The 14,829-nt window shown below is 40.0% G+C and overlaps 1 annotated feature.

Annotated features, from left to right (window-relative positions):
- Positions 6,650 to 7,315: an enhancer, noted in NCBI's record as "OCT4-NANOG hESC enhancer chrX:111857764-111858429 (GRCh37/hg19 assembly coordinates)". NCBI's record gives its function as "activates a minimal SCP1, AML or CMV promoter by ChIP-STARR-seq in naive H9 embryonic stem cells {active_cell/tissue: H9 hESC(naive)}" and the evidence as "EXISTENCE:reporter gene assay evidence [ECO:0000049][PMID:30033119]".

Raw genomic sequence — 14,829 nt, forward strand, 5'->3', positions numbered from 1 at the left:
AGGATTATAAATCATGCTGCTATAAAGACACATGCACACGTATGTTTATTGCGGCACTATTCACAATAGCAAAGACTTGGAACCAACCCAAATGTCCAACAATGATAGACTGGATTAAGAAAATGTGGCACATATACACCATGGAATACTAGGCAGCCATAAAAAATGATGAGTTCATGTCCTTTGTAGGCACATGGATGAAGCTGGAAACCATGATTCTAAGCAAACTATCACAAGGACAAAAAACCAAACACCACATGTTCTCACTCATAGGTGGGAATTGAACAATGAGAACACATGGACACACAAAGGGGAACATCACACACCAGGGACTGTTGTGGGGTGGGGGGAGGGGGGAGGGATTGCATTAGGATATATACCTAATGCTAAATGACAAGTTAATGGGTGCAGCACACCAACATGGCACGTGTTTACATAAGTAACAAACCTGCACGTTGTGCACATGTACCCTAAAACTTAAAGTATAATAATAAAAAAATTAAAAATTAAAATTATAAATAAATGCTGCAAGCAGAAAATTTAAAAAAAATAATATAGAAGATAAATAAAACCATAAAGCTGGATGAAATCATTCAGGAAAAGAGTCTATTTGTTTAGTTTGTTTCTTGCCTGTCTCCTACCCCACACTAGAATGTAAGCTTCGTGAGTGTAGGTATTTCTACTCACTGGTGTTTCTCTAGTGCCCATAACAATGCACTTATTAAAAATTTATTGAATATGTGAAATGAATGATTGTGTCTCACTAAATACTTCCCATTGGCCCTCACAGTCACATTTGGCCCCACCCTAGCCTCCCACGCCTTGTTTCTTTATTCTTTCTTGTGCCTTTTATAAAGAGTCATATTCACTCATAATGATAGCTGTCACATTTCTAACTTCCAGTGAAAGTTCATAGCTTGTCACGTCTGCCTCTCTTGATGTGTTCTCCTCTTTGAGTTTTCTTTGTCTAGGCCTTTTGACCCCTTTACGTGTGACCACTCCTATCTCCTTTTCCTAATACCATACCCTCTACAGGATACCTAAAACTGGAGTCTATATGTGGGTATCTGAATCATAGTCAGGTTGAGAATTGTCAAAGGCTGGCTGCAGCACTAGAGACACAAGAAGAAATAAATGCAGTGATGCAGGATTTGATCACACTCCACGAGTGTTCAACTTTGATTCATTCTGTGTATTGAGTTTCAGATTAAGATTATATTTGAAAGAAAAGGTTCTGCTGAGTTTTTAAGTATAAAAATTACTAATACAGACCATTCATTAATTCATTCAACATTTATTGAACATTTACTATGTGGCCAGCAATGCACTAATATTCTTATAGGCAGCTAAAAAACAGAAAGACCTGGGGGCTGGAGTTGTTGAAGAATTTTACACATCAAGAACTTGGTAGTGTAGAGATAATGGGAAAGTCATTTCTAGGAACCAGAATAACTCATCACCTAGTGTTTCACACACTGAGAAGGTATAGGTGTTGGCGCTCCATCACTGTTCTCTTAGAGGAGTGAGAACAAAGATTAGGGCATCCCTTCCCCAGTTCTCTCTACCAGTCACTCTTCTCTTGTCTTTTCCCTTGCTAGTCTTGCCTCATGGGCTGAACCTCAGAATGACAGGACCTTATATTCTTTCATCTCAAAATCAGATCAGGCATATTGGGGTGCCAGTTTGATTGTTTTCCTTTTATGGGCCATGTTCCCCAGTGGGCACTGGCATTTCTACATCTGCTCACATAGCAGGCTGTCTACATGAAATCTTCCTCCTGATCCTTCAGGAGTCTACTGGGAGACTGTGTTAGCATCAGGAAACTGCTTTTCCCATAATTCATTTCTGTAATACTGAACGTCAAGCACCTGAAGCAAAGAGTACTGCTGCCACCACCACCAGGCAAAACTGAATCATGTGCAGACACCAACGCCCCAGGCTGCTGGCTAAGAATAAGATAAGCTCAAAATAACTTGCACTCTCCCCAGCAGACCTTATTGTCTGCCATTCCCCTCTTTACCCCTGCCTATGATTGGCTGAAGAGCAAGGTAGACAACTGGTTTCTGAGCCCTGAAATAACATTGACAACAGAAATAAATCTCCTGCCTCGGTTAGAGGCTGATCAAAGCAGAAGAAAGAGATGATCAATCATTCTGCCACTTATTCAGCTGCACTCAGGATTTCTAGTATGGGCTTCAGGGGGTTCTAGGACTGCCTCCCTCCCCACATCAGGTAGATGGTGTGGGCATTTGAGTAATGGAGTTTGGGAACAGGTCAGGCGATGTAACTGGGCTTTGTGGCAGGGAAGAGGCAAGGAAGTCTGTACCCATGAGCTGGAAACTCCATTCTTATACTTAGGTCCCTGGCCCCTATGCACACACTCACATTCAGACTGTCTGAATGGAAAACTACAACCAAGACATGTATGCTCAGCTAATGGGAAACAAAGGGAGCTAAGGATGAGAAGCCTCACGATTTCATACCACCTCCTCCAGAGCTAGGGACATCTTTCCTAAAAGTAAACACAAAGCAGAAGGTGAAGGCATTGGTGTTTCCTATACTGCATCTTACCTGTTGAACAATCTCAGCTAGCTGATAGCTCTGAGAGCCCCAACTTGCCACTCTCATGGTTCACCTCAACTCTCACCTCAAAAGAGGCATTTGCCACTCTGCTAGCACTTAATGGTGGTAGCATAGGATGGGGTAAGTTCTTGAGCCAAGCAAAAAGCAGAAGGTACTGGTCCTTTTTAGGACTAGGCAACTTATCAATAACAGGAAATAGGGGTGCATGGGTATGCAAGACTAGCAGACTGACTGACCTTAAATGAACTTCAGTACAAAAGCCAGATTCTCTACAGCTTATTCATTTTACTTATCTGAAACTTTATACCTGTTGATTAATAAGTTCCCATATCGTCATTCCAATAGCACCTAATAATGACCATTCCAGTCTTTGGTTTTATGAATTTCATTATTTTAGATACCTCATATACGTGAAATCATTCAGTACTTGTGGCTCTGTGTCTGGCTTTTTTCACTTAGCTTAAAATGTTTTAAGACGCTAGATCTCATGTTAAGTGTTCCTAACATAATAAAATAAAATAATAAAAACCAGGGATTCTCAGCAGGGGCAGGGAGCAAAGCAGTAGAGCATGAGTATTTTGAAAAACCTACAAAAGTTATTGTGATCTCCACCTTGAACCTTATATCTATGCATTAGCAAGTCACTCTTATTAATTTCCTAATTTACCAAAGAGACAAAAATGGCCCAGATAAGCAACATGACCTACAGAAGGTCACCCAGCTAAGAGTCCTGCCAGAACCTGCCTGTCTCCTCAAGTGCTGACACACCCATTACTGTTAGGCCACTTAAAGCTTTGACCATGAAAATAAGTGATTTAGAGCAATCCCCATTCAGCATTGAGAGCAATCTTCCTTCACATGTGTATTAGCTCATGCTGCCATAACATAATGCCATAGACTAGAGGCTCAAAGAAGAGAAATGTTTTTTTCTCACAGTTTTGGAGGCTGGAAGTCCAAGATCAAGGAGTTGGCTGATTTGGCTTCTCCTGAGGCCTCTCTCCTTGACCCCCAGACAGCCACCTTCTCACTGTGTCCTCACTTGGCCTTATCTCTGTGTGTGCACATTCCTGGTGTTTCTTCTTCTTTTTATTAATATAAGGACATCAGTCATATTGGATCAGGGCCCCATCCATATGAACTCATTTAACCTTAACTACCTCTTTAAAAGCCCTATCTCAAAATACACTCACATTCTGAGATACTAGAATTTAGGACTTGAACATATGAATTTGTAAGGGACACAATTTGGTCCCTAACAACATGAGTACTGTGACAACTAGGCATAAAGAATGTTCATTCCAACTTCACCCTGCATCCATGAAACTACATTGCACTCCTTCCCCATCCCCTGCCACAAAAAAACCTTCCTCTGCTCTTCTATAACCATCACTGCCACTTCCACTAAATCACATCCCTTCTACTCTTCTCCAATGCCAGAATACCCTATCACTCTAGTTCTTCTGCATTATCCTGGGGCCATCTGTGTCTTCCACATGTCCTTTTCATATATGGATTCTATGCTGCCTGGCAGCCCTATTAGTTCCTTATGGATAGGGACCAAATCTTGTGTTTCCCTTGGCTCCCAAGAACAGACAGCAAATGTCTGTGCATAATCTACACTTGTGCTGAAACTACTTCATACCCTGTTTAATGACATGAAATGAGAGTAAATGTCATGGCACTCCAGAAACGTTGACTGAGTGACTGCTGAGAGATAGGAGCAGAGTCACCTCATCCTCCTTTCTGCCACCTTTTTCTAGTCTTTTTCAAACACCATGAAAAAGGTCTTGCTCTCTGCTTCTGTTAGACTGTTCTATTTTCTACACTTACATTCTAGGCAGTGAGAAACTCAAATAAGAATAAAGGGCATTTATCTCACTCTAAAAGGCTGAGGTTTTTTCTGTGCTGCTGGGGCTCTCACTCTCCCAACTAAAGAGCTCAATAACAAAAAATAAAATTAGGAAGAGGAAGCAGGGAAAGGGAAGGAAAAAGGAAGAAAAGGAATGAACAGAGGTGGAAAAGAAGGATGATCAAGCATTAGAGCAGGCACTGATGCCCTCCCTACTGAGAACAGGAAGGAAGCTACATTTTGCAAAGCACCTGTTAATATAGCTTTTCTCTGGACAAAGTCCCTAGTGGAAACTGAGAGAGGAGTGAGCCCTTTTCCATTCTCATGATCACGTTAAAATGTGTAACTTCATTATCTGGCTCCTCATCAGCCCAAGAACGAGGGCAGCAAGTGCCTTGTGGTTTATTTTTATTTCTGATATCATCTCCCTGATCCCAGAGGAAGCCCAGTCTGGCTTATTTAAGGCCACATGATGTGACTATTAGTCTTGTGTGTGTCTGAAGAATGCTTCCTGTCTTTTATAGAGTGGAGAGAAAACCTGAGCTGAACCCCTTAGTTCTGTGGCCCTCACCTTCTAGCCAGTAAGCAGTTTAATAGTAACTGTGAACCACAGAATCAGCTCAATTATGCTCTAAGTCAATGAGCACACTAAGCAATTGCACCTGGTTCAGTGACCGTATTTTTAACAGATAACAGTTGCGGAGTACTTCCCGAACACAAGACTGTGCATGAGGGACAGTGGGTCTTTCCCATGGAGATAACATGATCTATGGTTTCAGGAGCTCCATAATCCTGGGAAAAGACTAATTCAATAATATATTAGTTTTGTATTGCTGCCTAAAAATTACTACAAACTTTGTGGCTTAAAATAGCATTCATTTGTTAGCTCATCATTCTGCAGTTCAAAAGTGCAGCATGGTGTAACTGGAATCTCTGTTCAGGGTCTTACAAGGCTAAAATCAAGTTATCAACTGATCTGCATTCTCATCTAGAGGCCCAGAGCTCTCTTCTAAACTCATGTGGCTGTGGTAGAATTCAGTTTGATGCAGTTACAAGACTGAAAGTACCCATTTTTTTGCTGGCTGTCAGCCAGGGGAGCCAATCTATGCTCTGAGAGACCACCCGCATTCTTTCTCATGTGGTCTCCTCCATATTGAAATCAGTAACAGCACTTTAATTCCTTCTTATGCTTTGAATCTCTGACTTCTCCTTCTGCCTTCCTTTCTGACACCAGCTGGAAAAAGTTTTCTGCTTTTAAGGGCTCCTTGATTTGATTAGGACTACTGAGATAATCTTTCTATCCAGAAGTCAACTGTGTCATATGATGTAATGTCATCAGAGGAGTGATATGTCAACTTATTAGGGAGTGGCACCTGGCTGGGGGTTAGGGGTACATTTTTAGAATTCTACCTACCACAAGTAATAAAAGGAAACTTGTATATATGTGTGCACCCACAAATGCTCTCTACCCCCGCTTATCACCATGCACAGATTTGCAGACCTATGAGTCCATAGACGAGTACATATCTAAGAGCCAGCAATAGTCAAAATTTCCCCCAACTTCTTCTTTTCTTGTCATCACTCTGGAAATATAATGATCCCACCATCTCAGAAAGCAGTGTAGTCCTTGAGCTTAAACCACAAAAGAGTGACTGCATTTACAGCTATGTTAGAATACTACTTTGTGAACAAATTTTCCTTCATGGCTGTCCAAAGAATATAAATCATTTTTGTTTCTTGGTTTTTACAAAAGTGCTCAATAGTGTGGGGCACTGTGTGGTGGCCCCTCACATTTCATAAGCTACCTCGGACCCCAAATCTCTTTGAGTTGTTGACTTCGAAAATATTAATACTTCTATTTATCTCAATGCTCATGACTTTTCCATCATTTAGAAACAAAATGAGCTTCTGACTGTGGTCCCATCTGACAGTCTAAAATATAAATTCAGAGAAGATAGTGCACGTGACTGAAGACATGAAAGCAGGATAGGTTAGAGTTAGTGGTGCAGCTGGGAATGAGGTTGAGTAGGGGTTAATATCTGTATTGCTATGAAGATTTACAGAAGAAAAGAAATATGCGTAGTTCTCCAGAACCCAGTAGGGATGGAAGATAAATATGATTATGTTTGGATGGTAGTATGCCAGCAATGCAAATGATAAATGTCCTTGAAATTTAAGGTGCATGAGGATTCTAGCTTTTTTCTAAAATAAATGGAGGAAGAATAAATTATAGAGGATGGCACCCATTTATACCTCCACTCTATATTTGAGTTATGCTTTATATCTATCATAGAGTACATTTTTATGGATTCATTTGAGCTTCTCAAGTACCCTGTAAAAAGAATGGCAATTCAAAAAAAAAAAAAAAAAGTCCTTCACCGTATTCACTAACTGAAACAACACTAGTCTGGTGAGAGCTCAGAAGTAAGGGACAATTGTGTTGTTAATGAGTTAATGTTCTATAGGACCGCTGACTCAGACCTAAAAGTATGGTGTGGAGATGGGCTGGTGCTGGCTGAGAGAGCAGAACTGTGAAAGAGCTTAGAGATCTGTGGGGAACTGTAGTGCCAGAGAGAGGAGGAAAGCTTGCATAACAATGAGAAATGCTTTTTTTCTTAAGTTGTTTGCCAAAGAGTTCAGAGTCTGGTTTAGGAACCTGGAATGCTACTGCATCAGAATTTTGTATAAGTAATGATAGCATGTTTGACCTAGAAAGGAAAGATGAAATATATAAGGGTCAGATAAAAAAAAAAACTTTGCATTCTTGGGGACAGGGGGGCTGAAACAGAATTGCAGCATTTGACTTGGAATATGAAAGTATAAGTAAATTTAACAAACCAATGAAAACTGTAAGAGCACAATTTACATTTTAATCTACAATAAGCTGAAATCAAAATAGAGATCATGTACATTTAATTTTCTTAATTGGCATTTACCTTGAACCAGATATTCCTATTCATGTTAGAAGTACAGCTGGCCATCCATATCCATGGGATCTTCATTCATGGATTCAACCAACCATGGATCAAAAATATTGAAAGAAAAGTACAATTTTTTTCTTATTGTTTTTCCCTAAGTGATGCAGTATGACAACTATTTACATAGTATTTATATTGTATTGCATATTATAAATAATCTAGAGATACATAAAGTATACAGGAGGATAAGAGTAGGCTATATGCAAATACTATGTCATTTTATATCATGAACTTGAACATCCATATGTTTTGGTATCCAAAGGGGTCCTGGATACTGAGGGACAACTCTACATAGTCTGTACCAAATAGTGAAGTGTGATAATCTGGCAGTGATACCTGGCTAATAATCCAAAATCCCTCCGGAGCTTGTTGCAAAACAGATTCCTAGGCTTCACTGTAGACCTATTAAGTCAGAATCTCCACAAACACATTTGAAGAGAAGCACCACAGAAACTGAAGGAAGGACTGGAATCTCGGGAACAGGGTTCTCAGAAAAGAAACCCCTTGATATGATTTGACTCTGTGTCCCCACACAGATCTCACCCTGAATTGTAATAATTCCCATGTGTCAAGGGCAGGACCAGCTGGAGAAAATTTAATCGTGGGGGCGGTTTCACCCCAAGCTGTTCCCGTCATAGTGAGTGAGTTCTCACAAGATCTGATGGTTTTATAAGGGGCTTACTCCTTTGCTCAGCTCTCACTCACTCACCTGCTGCCTTCTGAAGAGGTGTCTTCCACCATGATTGTAAATTTCCTGAGGCCTCCCCAGCCATGCAGAACTGTGAGTCAATTAAACCTCTTTTCTTTATAAATTACCCAGTTTGGGGTATTTCTTCATAGAAGCATGAGGATGGATTAATACAGTTAATTGGTACCGAGGTAGTAGGGTGTTGCTGTAAAGATACCCGAATATGTGGAAGTAACTTTGGAACTGTGTAATGGGCAGAGGTTGGAAGAGTTTGGAGGGCTCAGAAGAAGACAGGAAAATGTGGGAAACTTTGGAACTTCCTAGAGACTTATCAAATTGCTTTGACCAAAATTCTGATAGTGATATGGACAATGAAGTTCAGGCTGAGGTGGTCTCAGATGGAGATGAGGAACTTGTTGGGAACTGGAATAAAGGTGACTCTTGCTATGCTTTAGCAAAGAGACTGGCAGCATTTTGACCCTGCCCTAGAGGTCTGTCGAACTTTGAACTTGAGAGAGGTGATCTAGGGTGTCTGGCAGAAGAAATTTATAAGCAGCAAAGCATTAAGAGGAAGCAGAGCGTAAAAGTTTGGAAAATTTGCACCCTGACAATGTGATAGAAAAGAAAAACCCATTTTCTGGGGAGAAACTCAAGCTGGCTGCAGAAATTTGCATAAGTAATGAGGAGCCGAACGTTAACCACCAACACATTGGGGAAAATGTCTCCAGGGCATGTCAGAGACCTTCACAGCAGCCCCTCCCATCACAGGCCTGGAGGCCTAGGATGGAAAAATGGTTTCATGCGTCAGGCCCAGGGCCCCTGTGCTCTATGCAGCCTTGGGACACGGCACCCTGTGTCCCAGCTCCCTCACCTCCAGTGCTGTGGCTAAAAGGAGTCAAGGTACAGCTCAGGCCATTGCTTTAGAGGGTGCAAGCCCCATGCCTTGGCAGCTTACATGTGGTGTTAGGCCTATGGGTGCATAGAAGTCAATAATTAAGGTTTGGGAACCTCTGCCTAGATTTCAGAGGATGTATGGAAACGCCTGGATGTCCAGGCAGAAATTTGCTGCATAGACAGAGCCTTCATGGAGAACCTCTGCTAGGGCAGTGTGGAAGGGTGATGTGAGGTTGGAGCCCCCACACAGAGTCCCCACTGGGGCACTGCCTAGTGGAGCTGTGAGAAGAGGGCAACCATCCTCCAGACCCCAGAATGGTAGATCTACTGACATCTTGCACCATGCACCTGGAAAAACCATAGGCAGTCAACACTAGCCTGTGAAAGCAGCTGGGAAGAGGGCTGTACTCTGCAAAGCCATAGGGGCAGAGCTGCCCAAGGCCATGGGAGCCCACCTTTGTATCAGCATGACCTGGATGTGAGACATGGAGTTGAAGGAGATCATTTTGGAACTTTAAGGTTTAATGACTACCCTATTGGATTTCAGACTTGCATGGGCCCTGTAGCCCCTTTGTTTTGGTCAATTTCTCCCATTTGGAGTGGGTATATTTACTCAATGCCTGTACTCCCCTTGTATCTAGGAAGTAACTAACTTGCTTTTGATTTTACAGGCTCATAGGCGGAAGGGATTTGTCTTGTCTCAGATAAGACATTGGACTTGAACTTTTGGGTTAATGCTGGAATGAGCTAAGACTTTGGGAGACTGTAGGAAGGACATGATTGTTTTGAAATGTGAGGTCATGAGATTTGGGAGGGTCCAGCAGTGGAATAATATGCTTTGGCTCTGTGTCCCCACCCAAATCTTACTTTGAATTGTAATAATCCCCATGTGCCAAAGGCAGGACCAGATGGAGATAAGTGAATCATAGTGGCAGTTTCCCCCCACACTGTTCTCGTGATGGTAGGTGAGCTCTCAAGAGATCTGATGCTTTTATAAGGGGCTTTCCCCTTCACTCAGCACTCATTCTCTCTACTGCCACCCTCTGAAGAGGTGCCTTCTGCCATAATTGTAAGTTTTCCGAGGTCTCCACAGCTATGCAGAACCCAGTCTCAGGTATTTCTTCATAGCAGTGTGAGAATGGACTAATATACCCCTGGAATGCAGGAAAGGAGAGTTAGCTAGCAAGAGAGGCTACAAGGCTGTTCTCTGAAGGCCACACTGACCACTCATTTTCATTAGCAGGTATTAAAATTTATAATTTTTTTCTGATAAAGAAGCAGAGACTCAGAGAGGTTGAGGCTTGCCCAACATCACACAGTTAATTAAAGGCAGAGCCAGGTTTGGAACCATGTCTTCTGGCCTTTTTGGCAGCTTTCATTTCTAGGTTCTTGACCTTGAGTACATTATTGTTAGATATTATTGACTATGGCAAGGATTTAGGAAAAGAAGATTAGAGGACAAAAAAAGAGGCCCCCTCATTACACTTACCACAGACACTAAATAAGGGTAATCAAATAATGACCAAAATCATTGGTTACTTAGTGAGCTAAGTGATGGATGACAATCTAAAGATTCATAAAAATATGATATCTGTTGGTACAAATATATTAATTTTATAAAGAATTAATCTCACTGAATTGATAAACATTTTATTGTGCAGAACAAACAATCTTGGATGAGGATTTTGCAGGCTGAAGGGCAAGTATGTTGACTTGTGTCATCTCTTGGTGAATGATGACTTGCAGTCTAGCTGAAACTGCACATTTTATTTTTTTTTTAATTTTACTTTAAGTGCTGGCATACATGAGAACTGCACATTTTAAATGACCAAGAGTGAATCTAATTTCTAGAAGTGAAGAATGTAAAATCATAATATTGTGAGATATTGCAGTCATTCTTAGCGCTTGAGGAAAGAGCAAAAGAAGAATAAAGCATCACAGGCTTGACCACTTTGGGGGCTCAAGAAATAATACCCAAAAGTATGGCACTTTGACATGCTAAACTGAAAAAGCAGACTCGAAGATCCTCTGACCTTCCTTGCCTCCCTTTCTCTCAAACTTCTATCTCTTCCAAAGCACAGAATGAGGCTGTTCTCTGATGTTCCCTTATTTACTTTAAAACTGGACCCCCAAAGAATAACACAATTGCCTTCAATCTCTTCCCTGAAATTTCATTAACTAGAGAAGATTAAAACTCCTGTCATAGAGAAACTGAAAATTAAACACCACACCTATAATAGAGCCCAGACTACCTTTGTCCCAAACTATTGTTTGTTCTCAAATCCCATTCAATTCCCAAAAATAATTATTTACTAACCATTGTCTGAACATTGGGTCCATTCATTCCCCCTAAAAAACATTTACTCCAACAACCCTCATCTCCCCTTCCCCTATGAAGAAGGGTATATATGCTTCTGTACCCCACTGGGTTATGGTGTACTCATTCTGTGATTCCCCCATGCTACACACATTAACTAAATCTGTATGCCTTTTTCCATATTAATTTGCCTATTGTCAGTTCATTTTCAGTGAACTTTCATAGGACGAAGGGGAAAGCTCTCCGTCTTTGCCCCTACACCAACATAGCTGAGAAATTGCTCACTAAATGATCGATGTATTAACCTACCTTCCTCAAACGTGCCTTTGGGCTGGGGCCATGTAGCTAGTTCTGACCAATGGGAGTGATGTGTACCACTTCCAGGTCCAGGAGGTTAAGAGCTGGTGTTCCTCATCCATCTTTCCCTTTGCCCTTTGTGGTCTTAGATGCTATATATGAAGATGGTGGTATCACAGAAAGAAGGGAGCCTTAATCCCCAAGTCACTGCTTGGAAGAGAATCCCCACCAACCTGCATTAGACTTGATGAAATAAACTTTTGTTGTGTTGAGATGAATGAAACTTCAGTTTTCTTTTGTGGCAGTTAGCAGTTACTGATCCTAATGTAGTTACTAACCTTCATGGAAATATCCAATTTGGTCAGTTTTTTACATAATTCCCACATTCCCCCTCCATATGTCATTAAATGCATTTTAATTGTATGAAAAGATTGATGGTGAAATTGTATTGATACTATGGAAATTTATTTGTATCATTTTGTTGGAGGCCACTTATTCCATAAAACAATGTAGTTAAATTTTAGACATTTTCCAGGATTTCCAACAAGATTACTGATTATTGGTATAAGGAATACATTCAGAATCCAATCATAAATGTTTTAAAACTGGATTGTGGTGATGCTTGCACAACTCTATGAATACACTGAGAATAAATTGATCTTATGCTTAAAACAGGTAAATTTTATGATGTATAAAGTATATGTTAAGAAGGTTGTTTTTAAAAAAGCCAACAAGTTATGGGCATTTTCAGAAAGTTTTGTACATGTTTGCATATCGATCACAATTATTTTCAAATATACTTCAAGGATTCCTAAGTACATAGCCATCAATTACAGTATGCGCTAAATAATGCAGCCTTATAATCAGGAGAGCTAAGGATAATATACCCTGGCCCAAGAAGAAGTCTTGACAATAGCACCTAGATAGTGAGTTTGGGTATGGTTTCGGCTGGCAAGTCCCCAACAAGTGGGAGAGATGATGCAACATAAAAGATAGTACAGCAAGAGATAGTCCTCAGAACATGGAACACTTTAGAACCCTAAGAGAAAGCAGTTCTCATAGATTACTAATCTCTCACCTATATCATAAGGAGCAGAAGCTAGAGAGTTAGCTCCTGCTGAGACACAGACTGATGACTACAGGCAATTCTGAACAGGGCCATCCTTAAGGAAAAGGGACAAATAGCTCAAGGTTGCCTCTGGAATGCGTTTCTTCACTTCTCTTCCCAAACCTTTCCCTGGAGTCCTTATGTTGCCCATCTGTCCGGGAGTAGAGGAAAATAAGACATCACATAATATTAAGCACAAGAAACTATTGGGAGCATATTCCCAATGAAGCTTGTAAGAAGTAGCTGGAATGAACAAGGCATAAACCAAAAGAATAACTCCATAATAGTAAAAGTAGAGATGGAAATGACAAGCTGGAGTGGAAGATATTATTTTAGTAAAGCAGCCTGCCAAATACTCCTGAACTGATACCACATAGGCAACTGTCTATTTTGTAGTAGTAATAATAAATAACTAATGTTTATTGAGCATTTACTATGTATCAGGCCCCATGCTCAGTGCTTCATAACATTACAGTATTTAATACTCTCAACCAACATATGAGATGGGTATTATTATCCTCAGGCTACAGATCAGGAACACAGAGGTTAAATATCTTGTTAGAGACTGCACAGTTAAGAAACAGTTTCTTGTCTACCCCTTACACATTACAAAGTGCTCTGTACATTATTGAGATAGTTCAACAGAGAAACCACATATCCAGAATAGAAAAAGAAAAAGAAAAAAGGCTGACATAATTGAGTGCGTAGATGCCAGGTTCAATACGATGCATATTCTCAGGTATAATCTTGTTTCACCCTCAGTATAATCCTTCATGACCATTAGTATTGTCCCTACTACAGATGAATAAACAGTCTCATTCCTTCAACAAATGTTAACTGAGTGCCTATTGTGTGCCAGTAGGATGCCTGCACCAGAGCAGTCAACAAATAAGGCTCATTGCTTGGTTTTGTAGAATTTACATTTTAGTGGGAGGGAGAGAGAAACAATAAATAAATGTGCTATGAAGAAAAATAAAACAGAATAAAGAAGGATAAGGATTCCTTGTTTCCTTCCTCAAAAATAACCACTCTCCTGAATGTGTTGTTTATTATTTTATTATTTACTGTTTATTATTCCTGTTTGTATTACATACACATACATTACATATGTTCTGGCATATGAACATTGCATAGTTCAGTTTTTCATGTATTTCAAACCTAGTACCATACAACAACAAGCATTTACTCTCTTGTTCCCAGGTCTCTATGTCAGCTGGGGCAGCAATCATTCATGCATTTTCATTCTGAGGCTGAAACTGAAGGGATAGTCTCAAGTGACATGTGCTTCTTATTGTGGAGGTCAGAAACTCCGAAAGAAACAAAACAAAAATATGATGCTTCTTAAGGCCTTGACTCAGAATTCTTACATTATCGGTTCTACCCAAATACTCTACTGGACAAAGTGAATCTCATGGCCAAGGCATCAATAGACTGGGAAACTATACTCTTCCAAAAGATGTAGTGTGAGGCGGCATGAATAATTGATGAACAAAAATATATTCCATAACAAATATGTAGTATTGTTTTACATGTTTTCAAACTTTATGGAAAAGGTATACTCTGAAGCCATTCTGCAACTTGCTTTACTCACTCAACATTATGATTTTTAGATGGATTCACACATGTGACTCCAAGTCATTCATTATAACTTCCATTAAATAAATATATCAAATTTATTTTTCTAATTCTCCCACTGGTAAATATTTGACATTTTCTATTCCAGATATCAATGACATTGACAGTCATGACTGTAAATGTCTTTGTCTGCTGTTGTGCTAGAGTTTCTCCACAGCAAATTCATAGAGGTGAAATTACATATACACCTAGATCTTCATCTTTCCAAGATATTGACAAATTCTTCTCCAAAGCGTCTATGCCAATTTATATTTGAGCCAGCAATGATGACAGTTCTTATTTCTTTCCAACACTTGCTATAAATGGGCTTTTACATTTTTACCAAACTTACGGATACAAATTGTATCTTCTTGTTACTTTAATATATATTTCCCTGAGTTTAGGTAGTTAAGCATCCTATCAAGTTTCCTCCTAAGTTAATTACTCAATCATACCCTCTGCCTGTGTTTTATTTTTATTGAGTTATTTATGTTTTCCTTA

This window comes from Homo sapiens, chromosome X, assembly GCF_000001405.40.
Source record: "Homo sapiens chromosome X, GRCh38.p14 Primary Assembly".
NCBI lineage: Eukaryota > Metazoa > Chordata > Mammalia > Primates > Hominidae > Homo > Homo sapiens.